Source organism: Homo sapiens, chromosome 11, assembly GCF_000001405.40.
Source record: "Homo sapiens chromosome 11, GRCh38.p14 Primary Assembly".
Lineage (NCBI taxonomy): Eukaryota > Metazoa > Chordata > Mammalia > Primates > Hominidae > Homo > Homo sapiens.
In genome coordinates this window covers 96,999,724-97,021,962 of record NC_000011.10, presented here as the reverse complement: position 1 = coordinate 97,021,962, position 22,239 = coordinate 96,999,724, and the positions used below count along the sequence as shown (strand labels likewise).

At 37.6% G+C, this 22,239-nt stretch overlaps 1 long non-coding RNA gene and 1 pseudogene across 1 annotated transcript; one reads left to right on the top strand and one right to left on the bottom strand.

Moving 5' to 3' along the window:
• Positions 1-5,915: 5,915 nt before the first annotated feature.
• LOC105369448 (uncharacterized) lies at positions 5,916-10,420 on the bottom strand. The gene is made up of 3 exons (XR_001748338.1): positions 10,268-10,420; positions 8,128-8,364; positions 5,916-6,052 (listed from the first exon to the last, which is right to left on the bottom strand). It is a non-coding gene; the product is annotated as an uncharacterized LOC105369448 (long non-coding RNA).
• On the top strand, positions 21,220-21,736 carry MED28P5 (mediator complex subunit 28 pseudogene 5; annotated as a pseudogene).

Below are 22,239 nucleotides of genomic sequence, written 5' to 3'. Positions count from 1 at the left end.
GCTGCCAGATATATTGCAGCTCCATTGAATGTTATTTGCTTTTTTTCCCTTTTTGCTTTTAGGATTCTTTATTTTTGACTTTTGGGAGTTTGATTATTAAATGCCTAAGGTAGTATTCTTTGGATTAAATCTGCTTGGTGTTCTGTAACCTACTTGTACTTGCATATGGATATCTTTCTCTGGGTTTGGAAAGTTCTTTGATGTTATATCTGTGAATAAACTTTCTACCTCAATTTCTCACTCTACTTCTCTTTAAGGCCAATAACTCCTAGATTTGTCCTTTTGAGGCTATTTTCTAAATCTCGTATGCATGATTCATTCTTTTTATTCTTTTTTCCTTTGGTTCCTGTGACTGTGTATTTTCAAATAGCGTGTCTTGAAGCTCACTAATTCTTTCTTCTACTTGATCAATTCTGCTAGTAAGAGACTCATACATCCTTTAATATGTCAATTGCATTTTTAAACTCTAGAATTTCTGCTTGTTTCCAATAATTTCAATCTCTTTGTTAAATTTATCTGATAGAATTCTGAATTATTTCTCTGTGATCTCTTTAATTTCTTTGAATTTCCTCAGCAAAGCTAATTTGAATTATCTGCCTTAAAGGTCACATATTGCTGTTTCTCCAGGATTAGTCCCTGGAGACTTATTCAGTTCATTTGGTGAGGTTATGTTTTCCTGGATAATATTGATGCTTGTGGCTGTTCATTAATGTCTAACCATTGAAGAGGTAGGCTTTATTGTAGCTTTTGCAGCCTGGACTTGTTTGTGCCCATCCTTCTTGGGAAGGCTTCCCAAGGATTAAAGGGGAATTGGGCCCCAAACTCAAAATGCTGTGATTCTGGCAGACTTGTAGAGATACTAACTTGGTGGTCTTAGATACGATCTGGAAGAATTTTCTAGACTGCCAGGCAGAGACTCTTGTTCTTATCTCTTACTTTCTCCCAAACAAACAGAATCTCTCTGTGCTGTGCTACCTGGACCTGGGAGTAAGGGGACATGATCATCCTTGTGGCCACCAGCACTGAGACTGCACTGAGTTACACCTGAAGCCAGCAGAGCACTGGGTCTCACCCAAGGCCCACTGTAACCAGTACCTGTCTACCACCTATGTTCACTCAAGGCTCTGGGGCTCTCTGATCAGCAGGCGGTGAAGCCAGCCAGGTGAGTTACCCCAGACCCCAGGCAGGTTCAGAGATGCTGTTCAGGAGCCAGGTATTAGAGTCAAAACCTTTAGAAATTTACCTAATATTCTATTCTACTGTGGCTAAGCTGGCAATCAAACCACAAGACAAAGTCCTTCTGACTCTTCCCTCTCCCTTCTACAGGCAAAAGAGGCTACCCCTTTGGCCATCACCACCACCAGTCTATGAGGGGTTCTTCCAGGCCATCACCAATGTTGACTTAAAGTCCACGGGTCCTTCAGTCAGCTTGTGGTGAATGCTGCCAGGCCTGGGACTCACTCTTCTGGGAAGTGGGTTATGCTATGTCCCAGGGAATGTCCAGAAATCCTGAACAAGAGCCTATTCCTGGACTCAGAGACCCCAAGATCCTCCTTGGTGCTGTGGCCCAGCTAGCACATAAGGTGCAAGGAAGAGTCCCCTTTACTTTTCTCCCTGCTTTTCTCAAACAGAAGGAGTCTTTCACCATAGCCACCACATCTGGGAATATGCTGGGTCACATCTGAAGCCAGCATATCTCAGAGCCCAAGGCCCATAGCATATTACCTGAGTATTATTGTTGGTTATTCAAAGCCCAAGGGCTCTTTAGTCAGCAGGTGATGAATACTGCCAGGACTGGGTCCTTCCCTTTAAGGCAATGAGTTCCCTTTTGGACAAGGGTTTGTCTAGAAATGTCATCCATGAGCTAGGGCCTGGCAAGGGAGGCTTTATGACTCTGCCTGGTTCCCTAACATACTGTAGCTGAGCTTGTATCCAAAACACAAAATGGAGTCCTCTTTACTCTTCACTCTGCTCTCCTTAAGCAGAAGGAATGAGTCATTTTTATTACTGCAAGCTGTACTGCCTGGGGCTGGGAAAGAGATGGCACAAACTTGCCTTTACACATGCCAGGTGATATCTCTGTAAGTCATGTGCCACCATGGTCCATGATCTCTAAGTCCAGTCCACCACTAGGAATTAACTAAGAATTACAGTCCTTGTGTCCTAGACTGCCTTTTGAGTTTACCTAGAACTCTAGAGCACTTTACCTTGTGTTGGTGAGGACTGCCAACTGATTGCAACTCAACTTCCAGCCACTTGGATGTGTGATGGGTGATTCCCCTCTGGATAGGTCTGGTGCAAATGTTCTCTCTGAGTGCACGTGCTGGCTGAGCCCAGCATCGCTTTGCTCTCCACTATAACAGGGCAGCACTGAGTTCAATTTAAAGTCTCACAATCTCTGTGCTCTCCCTCTCCCAAGCAGATTTCTCCATGCCATGTGGCCACCGCTGGGCTATGGGGACAAAGTGACATAAGCACTTCCTTAGCTGCCTCATCTGGTATCTCAGTAGGTCATGGGCCACCCCCAGTCCACTGGCTCTGAACCCACTTCAGCACTAGCACTTGCCTAGGAATTGCATTCCTTGTGGCCTAGACTGTTATTCAAGTTCCTTAGGGCCTCAGAGTACATTAGCCTGTGGTTGCAAGACTTGCCAGAACTCAGGGTCTGACTGCTGGGATGGGCAATTCTCTTCTGGCTAGGGCAGGTTCAAATGCTCCCTCTATGGGTGGGCATCAGCTGGGTACAACTGGTTCTGCTTTCTGCTGTGACAGGGCAGCACTGAGTTAAAGTCCCCTAGTATCTGTGCTTTTCCTGTCCCATGTGCACACGTTCTCTGTGCCCAGTGGCTGCTGCTGGGGGATAGGGGAAGGTTGACTTTTGTGATTCAAGATAGTCTCTTCTACCCCTTTTCAGTGCCTCTTTTAGCATTATGAAGTTTAAGCAAGGTACTGTGAGTGCTCACCTGATTTTTGGTTCTATTGATGATGCTTTCTGTGTGTAACTAGTTGTTAAAATATGGTATTTTTGCACAGGATAGGCCACTTTGCTCCATCTCCTGAAATGATTTTTTAAATGGTTAGCAGTCAACTTCCATAGCAGCTAGGGTGTGGGGGTATAGGGGTATAGGCTATTAAGGGGAAGATGAGCAGTGCAGCATCCACTGTGGGAAAAAAATTTTCATTAAATAATACATTCAGTATATAAATCAACAAATAAAATATTCAGACATTTGAACCCATTCACAGAATTATTGTGAATGTGACAACATCCATAATTATGAATTACTATGAATGTAGGGGAACACAGGACAATTATGTGGAGTTTCAAATCCCATAACCATTGCTCCTTTCGTTAACATAATTCTTCTAAAACCGATAAATCTTGTGAAAATTCTGAATTAAAACAGGCACTGTTTCTTCAAATGCCACAGTAATTACATTTTCAAAAATTCAGTCTACATTAAAACTATGTAAAAAAAGGTGCTTGTCACTAAACCAGAGTCAGGTTCTAGGACTGAATGATAAACAAGGCTTTCACCTTTAGAATATCTAGAGGGATATTTGAAAGTTGTGAGCAACTTTATAATATTCTTAATTTTGTGATTCTGTCAACATTAATGATTCTCCTGACTCAAACACTAATGCCAGTAACAACGTCTCCCAATCATTAGGACACACAAAATTCTCTCATCAGAAATTTCCAACCTGCTTCCCTGAAATTTCCAAAATATCTCTAGGTTATGATACAACCCAACCAAGGACTATTAGTATAGGCAAATTAATCTTTAGTTAATGAAGTGGGGACATGCTTATGTTTCATGATTAAATATCCCACATTTTCCAGTTACATTCCAAGGGCACCCTAGAAAGACTCAAACACACACACATATTCCCATTCAACACATACACATGTACACATAGGGGAGAAGAGTGTTGGGAAAAGTATGGGACTAGTATAATAATATAAGAGCTACCAAAATGCTATATATCACTAAGTAGATGCATGTTACTTTGTAAATCTAAAATGGAATCTCAAGTTCTATTTACTGGTCTAATTATTATGCTTTCATATATACTTATAACAGAATTATGTAATTGATTTCTAAAAATTTCAGATAGCATCCAAGAAGAGTGTCAATTAGAACATAACGACATTCTAACATTATGGACAAAGATGTAGAAAGTATAATAATTAACAGAGAGGGAAATGGTCAAAATAAATTTAGAGAATGAACTGCTTTTCTTATTATACCATATTTGCAAAGCGAGTTGCAATAGTTGACCTCCCTTGGACTCAAAATTGTAGCCATTTGGATTAGTTCTTCTCTTAACAATTATAATAATAATTCAAAAACTTATTTGGGCAGTCATACTACATTGAAAAGTGTCCATAAAAACTCTTGGGGTCGTCGAGTAAATAATAATCTGGCTTTCCCTTTTTGGTGCATCTATGTTATCATGTGTGTCTTAAAGAATATAATGCAAACAACTTTGAAATTCAAACTCAACCCTGAGTTTCTCCCAAAAGAAAATGGAGAGCAAAAAGGAGAGGTACAGAAGGAAAACAAGATTGTCATCTCGTTAGGCAGAGGATTGAAGAAAAATGTATTGGAATATGTTTATCATGCCTAACTGCCTCCACAGACTGCATATACTTGCCTTATAACCTGGACATGCTGAAAAAGGCTTTTAGCTACTGCATAAATTATTTTTCCTTGAGAAGAAGCAATAAAGAACCAGAGGAGTCTCAGCAGGCTGAAGTATCCAGACGAAGCTAGATTTATGGGGAAATAACTGTTACTAATAATTATAATAATTACTACTCAGAGAAAAAGATATCCTTCATTAAAATCACCTCCTTTTCTTATGCTCTGAACATCATTTCCTGTGTCTTCTTTGAATACATTTTCACAATTTTCATCAACTTCCCACAACCATTTAACTTGCTATCCTGTCTTCCCTTCTAATTTTTCCTATATATTCTTTCCAGATTGATCTTAAATTGCTCTCTTTAGTCACTCCAGGGGAAAAATATTTAAAATATGAATCATACCAAGTTTAAGTCATCTAGTTTGCTTTTGAAGTCCTTAACGGTTTGTTCTATCCAATATTTTCATCTGTATTTTTTAATATTCCCTGAAATGAGTTCTTCCCACTGTTCTACTCAAGCCTATGTGCTAAATGTAGTTACCAAATTCTAACGAGACAGCTTCAAGTATAGTGGAGGAATATTCTGGATCCTCTACTTAGGAATCTAACGTCAAATTAGTTCACTATTGTGCTCTTAAGTTACAGTGTTATCATGTCATTTTACTATTTCTTATCTTTTGAATAGAGTGACCAGGAATAACTAGATATGTCATTTGTCAAGAATCTTTACCTTACTTTTTGTCACTGCTGTGGAGGATCAATATAACTTACATATTCAACTGAAATATTGATGTTCTATGGTTGTATGGACAGGAAATTACTTGAGTGTCAAGCAGTTGAGCTAAATGTCACAAGAAGACAGGTGTTCAAAAGGACGGGGTGTTCCAGGACAAACGTTTGAAAGTTAAAGATAAAAATTTTAAAGGACAAGCCTAATTCTCCCATTTTTTCCAATAATGATTTCTATAATTGTGATCAGAAAATGTAAGATGTTACCATGTTACAATGCAGTTCAGTTTAGGAAAATATTTTGAAAGCTTACCTTAGAAGAACGCTTAACCTTTGGCCTTACTATCTTACGTTGGAGCTAGTATGGAGACATCAACAGCTCCAGTTCCCATAGTATCCAAAAGAGCTTCATGAAATCTCCTAAATTTCCTGAGCCAGACTAGTTGTTCTTTTTATTGTTTTTAAGTATCTACAGAACTCCAAAGAGACGCTATTACCATAAAAGTAATCATAGACACTCACACATTTCATGTATGCTGAATCTTATTATGTTTCCTCATGCTTTTTTTCTTCCATCTGGAATATTACTAGGACTCTTCAGTACCAATCAAAGCCCTATAAATTATTTGAGGATTAGCTCAGTCTTGCTTTTTTGGTTTGTTTTCATGAGTTTCTATTAAATAAGAAAGATGATTTGGTTAACAGAATGGAAACCAATGAAAGTACAAGTTGTTTTACCTTGTATAATGCCCCAAAATAAAGAAAACTTTATAAAGGATTCAAACCCAAGGTTAAGTATTCAGACTACCCCTTCCTTTCCTTGCTTTTCTTTGAAATCTTCTCTGCTTATCTTTGAAAATCTATTCAGTCTCTTTATTGTATAATAAAGCATATGTCTGATATTTGTCCCTAGTTCCTGGGAGATAACCTCTAAATTCTTGGAATTTCCCAGATAATATGAGTATCTTTGTTGTTCACGGTTAGTCCTTAGATCATACCTGAGTCTGTGCTGAGGAGATGACTCAGGATAGGGCCAGAAAGATGAATCACGTGATTAGAGGGTTACAGCTTCTAGCTACTTGGTATCAGCCTAACCTCTCAACTGCTGGGAGAATAGAAGGGCTAAAGGGTGAGTTGAATCACATGGTCAAGGATTCAATCAATAATGCCTACATAATGAAGCTCCACCAAAAACTCTAGACACTGAGCTCAGTAGAGCTTCCTGGTTAGGGAAGACATGATATGCTGGGAGGGTAATGAACCCTTATTCCACGGGGAAAAGACACTGAAGCTCTGTATTCTGAACCCTCTCAGACCTTGCCTTGTGTGTCTCCTCATTTGGCTGGTCCTGACTTGAATCCTTTATAATAAAAATGCCACCACAAATTTAGTGCTTTTCTGAGTCCTGTGAGTCATTCTAGTAAATTATTGAACATGAGGCAGTTGTTAGTGGGAACCTCCAAATTTGTAGCCAGTTGGTCGGAAGTATTGGTTGTCTGGGGATACCTGAAGTGCAGCAGGTATCTGAAGTGAGAGTCATCTTGTGAACTGAGCCCTTAACTCACGGGGTCTGCAGTAACTCCAGTAGGTTAGAGCCAGCACTGAATTGCAGTACACCAGTTGATGTCAGAATACTCATACTTCTCTTTTCAGGTCTGATACTTCTGCCTGTATATTGCTATTTTACTCTCCCATAACTTTGGTTTACATGAGCCCTTAGCTTGATAGCCACCTTTGGAATATTTTAATCTCTTTTGTTGAGGCATAACGACTGCCAGAGCCTACTTTCTATCTTTTCAACTGCACAGGCAAACCTCACTGACCACTGACAGTATTTTGCTCAATTTTGACGAATCAGTGGATTTAGACTAAGTAAAGAACTATTTTCTTGCTTAGAGGAACTTTTAAGTGGCAAACAGTGTTTTCTGCATCCTCTTCTCAAAGGTTCAACATCTAATACAAAGATTTTCCCTGCATATCTTGTGGGTCCATTTTTATCCCTTAGTGTTCTGAAAATGAAAGCAACATTTCATTGCTTTCCAGATGAAAATGAGTGCATTCAGCCCATTAAAAACACACAATATAATCTAAAATCAATACTTTTATGTGACAGTATGAAGCATTTTTATATTAATAAATGTATTAACAGTATTGGTTCTAAATCTGAACCTTCTTACTATGGGATATAAAGTCCTGCTCCCCAACAAACCTGTTTATATACAAACTGTGTACTTCCAAGTCCTCCATTGAGCAAAGTGTAATAATTTTCTCATCAATCAAATAGGGAACAAACCAAAACTTTTGGTTTAGTGAATCACAAAGGAAAAGACTCCTTAGTTCAGTTCATATGTCGCAAATTTTAAATCAAAGGGTATTATAGCTGTTTGAATGCCCAGCTAAGATCCGAAGACAAAGTCTCATTGAAAAGTGGATATGTCAATGCTGTGAGCAATAAGAAAGACAAACTCTCCTCATCTAATTTGTCCCTCCTCAATAACACATGACTTTGGAGATCAGTTCCTTATGTTTAAATGCTTCAGTCTCTTAGTGTCTCTGAGCTTGATCTCCTGAAAGACAGGGAATATGGTTGGCCCAGCTCGCACACTATCAGTTCAATCCACTGTGAATAAAGAAGCTGGGATTACCTTGTACCAGTATCGTCACATCAGTTTACCAGGCATTTTAAGGTGGGAACTCAAAAGGCTTGGAGGCAAAAAGTATTATGATTACAACTGCCCAAAGACTTACCTCATAATGTATTTTTTTATTATTATTGTTGCTGTTGTTGTTATTTGTTAGGTTTCCTATAAGTATCACCTCCATAGTTTAATGTGGAATATTTTACATTCATCATCCAGGACGGACACAGTATAGGCCTCGCAATAGATGATTAATAAATCATTGGTGATAGGTTATTAGAAAATGAGATTATACTTAAATATTTGTCCATGGTGAGGATTTGGGAGACGATTGTTTAAAAAGGCTCTGGAAAACACATAACATTTTATCAAAATGTATCACTATATGTGCCAAAACATGTGAAATGCAAAACATAGGAAACTGAGAACTGGTGTGATATGGTAAAAAGGGCCTGCAGTTAACGAGGTAAAAGACTGAGATGCAATTTCTAGGTCATTCTTAACTATTTTTATGTCTATTATCAAGTTATTTTCGGATCTTCAGTTTCTTTATTGGTAAGTAAGAGATTTGGGGAAAATGGATTTCAAGTTGCCCTTAAATAATTCCCTATAGATACAAAATGTTATGTCATCTAGTGTAATAATTTCAATGCTGTCAGTTAATATTAAAAAATATCAGTGTTCTAGAAGTATAATGAAAGAAGGCATGAAGCAAGAAATTTTTAAAAGACATGTATTTATTGTGCCCTCTAATTTTTATTATGTATTTGTTAAGGTATTCTTATTTATATTATTTAATTTTATCCTCATAAATATTCCATCAAAACTGGCTTAAGCATTCAATGAATATATTGGATTGCATAATTGAAAAGTCTTTCGGGCATGGCTTAGATTCAGAGTCTAACAAAACAGCATTCAGGTGTATTGATCAGCTAGCTGTGCTCTTCCATGGGTTGCCTTCATTTTCAGAAGGGTGTTTCCCTTCAGAGCGGCATGATCACAGTAGCAGATCCTGCCTACCATCCTGCAGTCTCACCACGTGAAAAACAAAAAAAAGAGCAACTTAGAACCAAGATTTTGGGGATACCACATGCCCAAATCAGACCCTATGTTTATCCCTGAATCAGCCACAGTTGCCCAATTAATAAAATGCATTGATTTGTTCTCAATCGATTTGCTGCATCACAAGTAACATAAAATACATAAAAAGAGTAGAAAAAAGTGAAAGAAACTCCAGGCCCTATTTCTGGAATTAGAAAGCAGAAGTTAGACAGAATAGTGGATTCATTCATTCAACAAATGTTTAATGGCCACTGTCCATAAGCTGGACACTCTACTAGGATCTGGGGATATTGCACTAAATGATTAGACAATGTCTTTGGCTTTCATGCAGATCAGGTTAGTGAGACCAGGAGATAGAAAAACCTATTTTGAGAGTTGATTACTATTTGCTTCTCCAGGATCCCAGAGAGAAGGCAAATGCATTGAAGTAGGCCCCATATTTTATGCCACATTTCCCACAGATTTCCCACATTTTAAATTCATAAGCAGCACGGGAACCAGAGGCTAAGAAGCTGTGTTGAAAGTGGTGCCTAAAATATGTTTTAATAGAATGGAAATGTAGACATAATTCAAGATGTACAATGAGGCTAAATGGAGTTTAAATGTTTACTTTTCTAGCTTCATCAAGAAAGTGTTACAAGTAAAGATTGATTGAAAGCACTTCAAATTTCTACATAGAAGCTATAATGTCCTTTACACTATTTAAAAATCCAATTGTTCTATTTCTTACTCTTTATTTTTAATAGTTTATTCTGTTTTCTACATTATGTATATGCATAATTTTGTTTTTCTTTTTTGGCCTCTATAACCATGTAGCTTACAGTCAAAGTGATATGATTTAACAACTTAACTACTCTCACTAGCATATTTTTTCTATTCCAGAGAATTCTTGCCCAGGAAAATAAAACTGTAAATAACTTTATTGTTCATTTTAGGAAGTTCCCATGAAATCATTTAATGAACATCAAATTATTCAACTTCTAAACAGACAATGTCAAAGAACTGTTTGCCACCTAGGATTGCAAGATTTTTATATTCTCAACTTAAAATTCTTACCTTACTGTGTCTGTCAATCCTCAACTATTAAATCATGGACCTTACCTTAATGAAGCCCTTGCTTCAAAAGATCCACCTAAAACCAGGCTCTAAAACCTTAAATCTCTTCTGCTTCTGCTCTTTCTACTTACAGATGCTACTGTGTCTGCAATTGGTTCCTTCCGGTGGGTTCTTGTTCTAGCTGACTTCAAGAACGAAGCCATGGACTCTTGCAGTGAGTGCTACAGTTCTTAAAGATGGCGTGTCTGGAGTTTGTTCCTTCAGATGTTCAGGTGTGTCCGGAGTGTCTTCCTTCTGGTGGGTCTGTGGTCTTGCTGACTTCAGGAGTGAAGCCGCACACCTTCTCAGTGAGTGTTACAGCTCTTAAAGGTGGCGCCTCCAGAGTGGTTTGTTCCTCCCGGTGGGTTCATGGTCTTGCTGACTTCAGGAGTGAAGCCGCAGACCTTCGCAGTGAGTGTTACAGCTCATAAAGGTAGTATGGACCCAAAGAACAAACAGCAGCAAGATTTATTGTGAAAAGCGAAAAAGCAAAGCTTCCACAGCATGGAAGGGAACCCAAGCAGGTTGCCGCTGCTGGCTCAGGTGGACAGCTTTTATTCCCTTATTTGGCCCCGCCCACATCCTGCTGATTGGTCCATTTTACAGAGCACTGATTGGTCCATTTTACAGAATGCTGATCGGCCCGTTTTTACAGAGTGCTGATTGGTGCGTTTACAAACCTTTAGCTAGACACAGAGCGCTGATTGGTGTGTTTACCATCCTTTAGTTAGAAAAGTTCTCCAAGTCCCCACTCAACCCAGGAAGTCCAGCCGGTTTCACCTCTCACTACTAAGACTCTGTCAAGGTAGTGAGCTCCCTTACAAGCTTTGCCTGAAGAGGTGGTTTTGTTGGATTTTTGTGCAGCCAGAGAGAGTTTAACCACTCTGATTCTAACGTGGAGTTTCTGCATATACTTGTTGAAATGCTTTATGAATGAATTGTAGGTTCATTCAGATTTTAAATAGATCACATTTTGTAGTACTGTAGTTAAGCTATAAAAATTCTGTAGCAAATTATCAAGAATCATATTAATAAAACTCTCAAGGCTATATCACTTCCACATGATTTCTGTTGTCTTCTTAAAGAATATTTTAAAGATTTCTGTAGAAAGAAGTGGGTATGGTCTGAAAGGAAATGTGCAAATCATTGGCAGACAAAGAATGAAATTAACATTGACCAATTTGACTACTCATTGATACTTGATGAAAAGCAATGTATCCAGGATTACAAATTTAGATTCTTTATGAACTGTTTTCTGATGAAGTATAGAAAGTCAATCCTCAAAAGCCCTTAAAGGCTTTTGTGCAGTCTTTTATTTTTCTCAGCAGCTGTAAGTGCAAAAAATCCTTGTTGAAATTAATGCAAGATAAGGGGATATCAAAAACACAATCTAGTATCCAAGGAATATTTACTTTAAGCATTTTGGTTCATTTAAGTAACTGCAAGCAATGGCTTGTCTTACTACCTCCTTAAGGGACTTGCCTTCCTAATGCTTAAGCTTATTTTTTGGTGTGTGGTTAAAATGTCAATTTTCCATGATTACATTAATCTCAGTGCCAGGATTAGAACTCAAAATTTAGAGTCTCAGTCTAGAGTCGATAAGAGAAGAATTATAGTATTGACTACTCTGTCTTCCAGAGAGAAATAATGCAAATAGGTATAGCCTTAGGGTCACAAAGTAATACATTGGCCTCTCAAAGTCCTGGTATCTCAGGGGTTTTTTTTGTATAGAGAGAAGGTAAATTCAATGAATAGTTGGCAAAATAAGTGGCAATCTTTAAATTCCAGCAGCAGTCTTTGCCTGTGAGAGAAAAGGATTTTCTCACACAGAAAGAGGGGAAATCCACAATTGCATCCTATGGCAAGGTATTCCAAAGACAGGAGTAGTTCAGATGGAAAAAAAGGACAAAAGGTAGCCAGGTGATTTGGGGCTCGCTCCTACTGGGCAGTTAGACAAAATAGATTGTGAAATGCTTTTGCAAACAACAATGCCCTATAAAAATGCCAGCCCATTAATCATGAATGATTTTAATTACTGTGATATTGATTAGTATAGCAACTATGCAAAATCTAAGCCAGACACTGTGCTTTCCTGAGCTTGCTTTTTTTTCTCTCCTGTTTTATGAACAGCTGGCTTAACCAAAGCCTATTTTAAGACCCAAAAAAGAGCAAATATGAATAAAATAAAGCTGAAGGTTGTAGAGGGGGTACAATGACACGTTACTGAATAAAAGGGAATTCTGGTTTCTCTTAGAAAACTTGGATTTTTCGAAAATGCCTGCAAAATATTATGCCTCTAGGGAATGATTCAGTCAATTTATTATAGTAAATGCATGATTGGTTCTATTTGGTTTTATTTCCTAGATAGAATATTTGTAGTTATTTTAAAAGATATATACGTGATATATTCTTTAAACTATATATGTGCATCTCTGTACTTTGGGGCCTATTCTCTCTGCTTCTGTAGAAACATTGTCTTCCTACACATGCTTTTAGTTCATGCAAATGGCAGTAAAAAAAAGTCCTTTGATTTCAGTGAAATAATATATCTGGTATTATATCAGATTCACATATGAGTATACTACAACTCAGTTGTACAGAGAAGCATAACTTCTTTAATTTTCTATAACTGATCTAATGACCTGTATAAACAACCTACTGCATAGTAATAAATAAAATTTCGATTTAAAAACCTCAAACTTTCCATTTAATATTCTTAATTTCTTTTAGTTTTAAATACTCTCTTAATTCATTGAAGATTTAAGATACATGCTCAGGATTTAAGATTTAAATTTCCTGTCCACATGGCCCCTCAAGATGACCTCTGCATTTCTAGGGTGGGAATTGTAATAGACCTTATGGAGGGTGAAGAAGGAAGATGGCAGAGAGGCCAAAGAAGACTTGATGTTCTTAGAGGTAAGTCCTTACTCTACCTTCCCAAGCAGATTGTTTATGCAACCAGGTCTCATCATTTTTGTGGTCCCTGAATTAATATATCTTGAGATGCTTCCGGTACCAATTAGCATTAAGCTGGTATCTGATGATGAATTCTCAACTTTTCTCCTTTTGTTCATAAAAATCTCTGTACACTGCAATCTCCTCATTCTCAGCTCCAGCTAAAGTATATTAATCTAGCATATCTTTGGTTTCCCACAGGAACATGAAGAAACTTTTGGGTCCTCTGCATTCTCCAGTAGGCTAAGGGGAGCCAGGATCCCTGTCTTAGGCTCATCAATCCAGCCTCTTCCCCAATATTCACTCACAAATCAATCTAATCTCTTCTCTCATGGTCAGACTGGCTCTGAGACAAGTGAGGATCTTCTCATACAGGATTTCAGCCTCTCAGGAGCTCTCCAATGGAAAGCTGGCTTCTCATGAGGGTAGTGAGGTAGGATGAAAAGCAGGAACACTGATGTGAGACTTGCCTAACCCCCTTTCCTGTCTTTCCTACCTTTTCTCAGAAGGATAGTACATTCAAAGCAATAAGCTTAACAGCATATGATAATGCATCTGAAAAAACATACAAAACTAATGTTTCATCTTAATAACACATTTTTATGCCAAAATATGCTAAAGTGCCTTACTTAATCTTCATAGCAACCTTGTAAATAGATACCAATTATAGCCATTATAATGAGAAGTTTCAGTGCTCAAGAAGGGTAAATAATTTTCTAGTATCACACAGCTAATATATGTTATTCATATCCATCTATGTCTGACTTCAGAATGATGTCCTTAAGTTCTATGATCAAATGGAAGAGGGCAAAGAAATGATTCACCCATATATATACCCCCATGGAAAACAAATATCCAGAAAAAGAAGACAAGACCATGCAAACATAAAAACTGAAAACGTGAAGAGTTTTTAAGTTATAACATGATACAATAATTGTCTGTTGTTGGAATTTATAATGCATATGTTGGGCCAATAGCAGTAGGAAAAATCATTTAGCAATTATATAATATTAATGCTTTTTTAGAGTTCCTAAGTAAAGGACATCCATGTGTAGACATAAATAAATTCCTAGATCTTGAATAAAAATATTGATATTAAGTCACTTTGTACTTGAAATATCTAAAGCAGTTTTTATTTCTCACACGAAACTTTAATAAAATACAGAGAGCTGGAAAAGTTCCAGGGAAAGGCCCTAAAACTAGATATGTTGGATGGATTATGTGACCTGGTTTGAAAGAAGTGATTACCTCATCATCAGGGAAAAATGGATTGTAGGTGACCCATGATATGTAGTTGTTCGTAGCACGTAGTTTCTTATCAGTGAGTAGGACTGAGAGTTCAAGTGGCTGCTGCAAATGAGCACTATGATGGCAATGAGAAATACAGAGACTGAGGTGAGCTGGCCTTCTTCTGCTTGAACTGGGTAGCATGAAGAGAGAAAATCATAGCTCAGGGCTGTAAACACTTGACTTTATTCTGCTTCTCAAACTTACCTGTGCCAATAGGTTTAGTCTTATTTGAGTCTTTTAAAAGAATCTCTTATCTCTCATAGCCACTGCCTGAGATAACAATAAATCAGACACAGAAACCAATTCAAGGAGTTACAGAATTACACACTAATTTGAATTCCTGACCTTGCCAGGTCTCTTGTGTGAAAGTCGGGGCACTGATTGGGAAAGACTGAGCCTCTCAGAATCATAAGAAAATATTTGGGTGAATTATAATAAAAATAAGTCTTACAAACTCCATATCCCATTGATGTTTCCTTGCCTATAGAAGTAGCTGCTCTTTACCATTCTGTCAAAGAAAATCATGCCTTGCTTGAAGACACTGAAATGATCTTACCTACATCAGCCAGGGTCCAGAAAAAAGACAGAAATCATACCAATTACTTGAACAGACAGAAAATTTAATATAAAAAATCGCTAAGTAGAAAAATAGTAGCCAGGTAACTGAGAGGATAAAATGAGAACTATGAGGTATTATAAAGCTGGGGCTGCAGAAGACAGCTTTTGTCCCTAAGTCTGAGGGAACAAAGGGAATGGTGGGCATTATTAAAACTTAGAAACTTACAGGAAGGAAGCCTGAGACGCTGGGACCCAGACCTTTGAAGAGGGGATGTCGGCCTGCTAAGGCTGGTGAGTTAAAGTGGGTGCATAATAAAGTTGGTTATACCAATGTTGGAAAAATTACACAATGGATATAGGTGATTCCACTGGAAGAAAATTCCACTTCCTGGGTGGAGAACCGTTGCTGGGGTTACTTTTACAGGAACCAGAAGAAGCAAACAGTAAATTCACGTGGAGGAAACTGGAAGTAGAAAGAAGCTTCTCTTTCCTCTAGCCTTGCGGTATCTTTCTAGTGCCCCTTTATTGTAGATCCTAGTACAGAGCCCGGTGGCCAACCAGCAATGTATTTGCAGAGACCCAGCACCAGGATCATGAGTACAGACGGGTGGGTTGGAAGCTGACAATCCCTTAGTAACTGTCACATCACCTTAGGCCATTACTTCAAAGGACTTGTAGATTATCCTCATGCCCTGTTGCTGCCACCCCTTGTGGCTTTCAAACTCATAACTAGACTTACATCCTAACAAGCCTCAGGAGGACAAATGCAAAATCTGACTTGAAAGGAGATGGTGCACATATCAGAAAGAAATAGCTGCAAGGTTTTCCTGATTTATACAGTCACAAACTTAGGGAATATGTATAAGAATGAATTTTGTGGCTTCTGACAAGGGAAGAATGAACATATTAGAGAACGTGAATTTATGGTTAAAGATGCACATACACAAAATTTTGGATTCAAGTCCATCTCCAGCACTAACAAGCTTTGTGACCCTGGACAAGATGATTAATTGTTCTTTGCCTAATTTCTCACGCCTATAAAATGAGTAAAATAATTATATTGGCCCCATGAGACTATTGCAAAGATTAAATTAATTTATATATGTATCTGTTTAGAGAAGTATCTGGAACATAGTTAAGTACTATAAGAGTGTTAACAAATAAGAGATACAGGCAGCTAAAAGTGACTTGAATTGTCGGATGTTTAAATGAATGTTGGATACATCAGTTGCCTAAATTAAATCAAGTTTTTAGAAACTCTTTTTATAATATGATGGAAAAAATCTAACAACTTAAGGAGATAGGAGTTCTGGAGTACATTTTTTATGACCTATTCACCCACTCTCATCTATATCACCCTCTAGGGTCACTAAATATATATTATTCTAGGCTTCCTAAAGGGATTTGCAGCCATTTACCAAGATGGGTCTATATTTTACACAAAGAAAAGAAAGCAACCTTGGTTTTTCAAGGATTACCATACAATGGCTCCCAGTTAGCAATAATACTTGGATTCTCCTATGTTACTGACCTGTACAAGTCAGAATAAGAGTGTATATAAAGCAAATAATACAGAGTTTAGCTTGAGTTCAGCTCTTACAGCAGGCCTATAAAACAACTCTCTGTTTATTTCTATCATTTTTGATTGCATAATTGGAATTGGATTACATAATTACCTAATTGGCAGCTAGATGAATTTCCACACCGATCCCCCCTCACTCATAGAATAGGGACTATTTTGCTTATAAGGCCTAGGTAAAAGTCCTTGAATGTCCGCACTCCACCAAAATGATAAACCAAATTCGATCTTGCATCCCTGGTGAACCACAAATACTAGTGCCACCGTAAGTCTTGAAGGATGCCCATGTGGTGATTTCTCTCATGTCTCAATTTAAGTAGCAGAAGATAGATTGCTGTTGTGAAGAGAAGATGGATTGGTCTTGGATAAAGAGAGTGAATTATTTTAAGCTTGATCAGGGAATTAAATGCAACTGGGCTGCTGTTCCTCCTGTGATAGCTTTATTCTAGCAAATCAACATTCTGCTGATAACTGGTAAGCAGTTTTGAAAGTGCAAATTCTTTTACTTTCCCCATCTTAATAAGCAGATGCAGTTTAGCTTCAGGTCAGAAGTACACCTTTGCTAGTTCACCTCTGGTTCTCTGCATAAACTGGCCCCAAAAATCTTGATTATCTCACTATTCTACAGGGTATTAGACGGGTCCACTGCATTGATAACATTGTGTTGACTGAATTTGGTGAGCAGAAATGTTGTAAATGCCTATACATACATATAGATGTGTGTGTGTGTGTGTGTGTACATACATGTACGGGTGTGTGTGTGTGTGTGTGTGTGTGCGTGTGTGTGTATGCTGGAGAATGGGAGGTGAACATCACAAAAACTCAGGGTGCTATCTTAAGGTTGGACAGAGATCTGGGGATGTTGAGGTAACCATCCAAAGTAAAAAACGATTGACTTAATATTACACAACTATTCACCAGCTGGTGAACACAATTATTCACCAGCTTCCTCAGTACTGTAGAGCAGGGATGTTGGTAATGTTGGGAGTTGACATCATGTGATTTTAAATCAGAGTCCAAGGATAGCTGGCATGATGGCTCGTGCCTGTAATCCCAACTACTCAGGAAGCTAAGCCAGGAGGATTGCTTGAGGCCAGGAGTTTGAGATCAGCCTGGGCAACAAAGCAAGATCCTCATCTCTAAAATAAATAAATAAATAAATATATATATATATATATATATATATATATATATATATATATATATATATATCCATCCAGGGTGACAGGTACCTGCAGTCTCAGCTACTCAGGAAGCTGAGGTGGGAAGATCCCTTGAGCCCAGCAGTTTGAGACCAACCTGGACAATACAAAGTCCAATTATATCACCTTATTCCATTCTTTTCATCCTTATGGCACTTTTACAATTACCTAAATCTTGTATTAAATTTCTACCTGCTTAAAAACACAACAATACAGGGTTCTGTTATTGTACTAAACCCTGATGCGTACTGAATTGCTACTATGAACAAATTACCACAAATTTAGCAGATTCAAACAAAACCCATTTATTATCTTACAGTTCTGGAGGACAGAAGTCTGAAATGGGCCTCACAGGGCTAAAATTAAGTCATCCACTGGCTGCATTCCCTTTTGAAGCCCCTAGAGGAAAATTTACTTTCTTAGTTTTTCCAGTGTCTAGAGGCTGCCACAGACCTTGGCTACGTCCCCATTCCTTCCTCAAGGCCAGCAATGGTCATTCCAGGCTTTCTCACTTTGTGTCACTCTGATGCTAACTCTCCACCTCTATCACTTATAAGGATCCCTGTGATTATATTGAGACTACCCAGATAATCCAGGATAATCTTTCCATTTCACAGTCAGCTGATAAGCAAATTTAATTTCATCTTCCCCTTAATTCCCCCTTTCAATGTAACATAACACATTCATAGGCTCCAGGGGTTAGAATGTGGTCATCTTTGGAGAATCATATTTTGGATACTACAGACACCTTTTCTTTACCCCCAACATCATGTTATCATGAAAAAGAAGTTCCATTTAGTAAGCTTCTTGGTCTCTTGTTGACCTCCCAGAATTCAAGTTTTACTGAACTTGAAAGACATAAATGAGCACACATGGCTCATCTCCTTCTATATTCCCATAGGACTCTGGTGGGGTACTGAGAGTATGCATGGCGCTATCTGTAAAATGGTTCCTGGGGAGGCAGGAAACTGTGTTACTAGCTGGATGAATAATCCTGGGGTGCCTAATCCAGAGTCAAGTGATAACCAGACCTTTATCAATACATCTAAGGTACATTGCCTAAAAATTATCAGTGCTTAAATATTATATCTCCAACTATCTCTCCAGTGTCTACATCTCAATGGATTCTCAATTCTGACATATTAATTAGAAGTGTCATATATTGTCTTCATAATGTGCCAAAAGAAAATAATATCGGCCAGGTGTGGTGGCTCAGGTGGCTCATGCCTGTAATCTCAGCACTTTGGGAGGCCAAGGTGAGCGGATCACGAGGTCAGGAGATCTAGACCATCCTGGCTAACATGGTGAAACCCCATCTCTACTAAAAAAAAAAAAAAAATTAGCTGGGCGTGGTGGCGGGCACCTGTAGTCTCAGCTACTCAGGAGGCTGAGGCAGAAGAATGGCATGAACCTGGGAGGTGGAGCTTGCAGTGAGCCGAAATCGCACCACTGCACTCCAGCCTGGGATACACAGCAAGACTCCATCTCAAAAAAAAAAAAAAAGAAAAAGAAAAGAAAAGAAAAAGAAAAGAAAATGATAATATCTGTTACATAAGTAGTTATAAGCATTAAAGGTTCTATATATTTAAATGCTCAAAATAAGTAAGTCCTTAATAAATAATAGTTATATTAATACTATCATTATCTAGGCCAGTGAAAGAGGACAAACAGAAATAACTAAAGGTTTTAGGTATCAAATGAAGTGGGATTTGTAAAACTATTTCATGAAATGTTGAATAGAAGTGAGTTTTTAAAATAAAATCATAATTACTGCATATTTAGCTTCAATATATCTGTTTCTTATCACTAAGGATACAAAAGGTGAATGGGTAATATGTTTTCTGGGATGCCTTGTCCTTATCATTCTTTGTAAGAAATGCTTTCAACTCTTCAAGGCCAGTCTAAATTGCAAAGTCTATTATGAGAGGGCTTGTAGTAGTCAATTGAATTAAATGTAATAAACTGACAAGGTTGTAACATGAGGTGTATGTAAGTATTTCTAATGATCTGATATATCTATCATCTATATATTACAATTTTGTTCTATTTCTTTTAGCATAAAAACTACTGAAAAGGCATCGCCTAATTCTGTGCCTTCAGAAATAATATACTATGAAGTTTACTATGGCTTTTTATTGATCCATTTTTTTTCATAATTATGATCAAATAATTTATTAAGCAGTTCTATAGAGGGCCATTGTATGACTTCTTTGCTGACCTATATGTTTAATTTTGGGAATAAATTTCCTACATTTTTTATTTGTCCATTTTTATATTTTAATAAAAAGAGAGTAGACATTTTTTGCAAACAAAATTATTAAATAAAGATGATGGATGCCATTTCTAAAGTTAAATTCTTATACTAAATAACGGTTTTAAATTATATTTATTATTACACTAGGAGTTTTCAGCTGCATTTGGATTATTTTATTTTTTGGCATTAATAACCATTTTAATATTTTTTTCAAGTGTAGTTCATTATATTTAAAGTGCCATAAAATTTGTTGGCTAACTATGCTAGAACCTCTACCAACCTTCCACCCCAAAACCTGGGTAAATCCCACTAATTCCTTTACAATGATTTATATACTGCTTCATCTAGGTAGAGTTCTTTGAGTATCCCTTAAACGTTCTTGGGTACCCTTTCTGTGCAACTCCACATATTTCTCTTATCAATTGCCCTTGTTTTTGCTCATTTGTTTAGTTCTCTGTGTCTCTCAGTAGAAGGTAGTATCCCCCACAGCAGAAAAGCATGTAAACTTGCTCATCATTTTATTCAAAGTGCCTAGTACAGTAACTTACACATTATATTCCATTTACACAATAAGATGCATGATACTTACTATTTATTTCCTTAAGTTTATCAAGTATTTATCACTGATTCATAATGGAGACAAGCACTATTGAGGTGGTATTGTTGCAACACAAATGGTACATTTTAGTGTATGAATTGCATTCACGATCAGAAACCTATTTTAATGGATACATTTATATTAATGTCAAAAAAAGACAAAAATGTTTCATTAACTTCTCACTTTGAGTGGTAATTTGAATATAACATGGTAATAGGCTGTTTTCTTCTTTCCCCAGTAAACCAAAAACCACAGCTTCAGGATCACCATGAGCCAGCCAAAGTAGCAAATGCAGAGCTTTCCTCCAGATACTACATTTCTGTCATTATAATAAGCCCATGAGTCACTAACTAACTCCTGGTCATTTTCAGTTTCTAATATTTAACACACAGTTTGAAATGCTGGTTGCTTCCAGCAGAAGCTAATTAGTTTGGGTAATGTGTTAGGCAACTTTGTCAGATGTAATATCCCTCATTCCTCTTCAAATCAGCATACTGTTTATTATATAATTTCTGTAATAGCATTTTTCCTATGATCTGATACTAAGGCCATCCTTGTGGTGGAATAAATAAGGCCAACCACTGGATAAATTATAAAATAAGAAGTAGATTCCAGACATAGCTGCTCCACTAGGCGGTATGTTCTCTGGGCAGCCACTGGGGCCACACCACCCCTGCTGGGGCGCCCCGCCTCATCTTTTGGTGCTTGCTTTGCTTCTCTGGTGAGTTAGGACTATGTCAATGGCACCAATCAGGAAGAATTCAAACGGGTATTGATCAGAGTATTCAGAAGCTTCCGGATATTGTAAACAAACAATATATTTTCATACAGAAAAAATATTGCAATTAACTGTCCAGAAACCAGAGCAAGTTATCAAAAAGAGGATGTCTCAGAACCAAGGAATGAATTACAGGAAAAGATGTGCTGGTCCAGAAGTAATTGACAAAACTGAGGCATTGGCAGCAGATGCTGCAGGATATTAAGGTGTAGTACAAAAGCCAGCCGACATCCCTCAGGCTCCTTGGCCTACCTTGAGCAGGTGTCTGCCAATATCCCTGAACCTCTGAAGCTGACTTGAGCAGAAGGGCAAAGGCTGGCAGCCTGAATGTGGGTTAGTGTGTGATGCAGCCCTATGCAGGCGATTTGCCACACATCCCTTGTGATCTTAACATTTTGGAAGAACTCTTTGCCAGAGAATGAGGTGATTTTAGTTTAATGCCTCCACCTAAAAATGTTTCCATTATTTTTATAAACTGTTAATTTCATGAGCACATTATAAAATGCCTATAGCTTGGGTAAATCAAGTAAAAAAAATATTTTTTTGTCTTTAACAAAGTTTAGACTGTTAATGTGATGACACAGATTCTACTTTATGGGTTTTATTGTTGCTTGTTTTTTTAAGTTTTTGGATAACTTTTCATCTTTTTATGTGTGTCTCTCATTGCTTGTTTGATCTGAAGAAAAAAAATTAAAATAGCCTGAGAATCAGGGGATGAGGTTTTTGGTTGCAGGCCTTTTATAATAATGACCTTCAGTGGTAGTGGAGAAAAATACATAAATTTTCTGTTTCAAGACCTAACTTCCTCAAGAAGTGGAATCTAATGGAGCAATATTTGCAATGCTTCCAG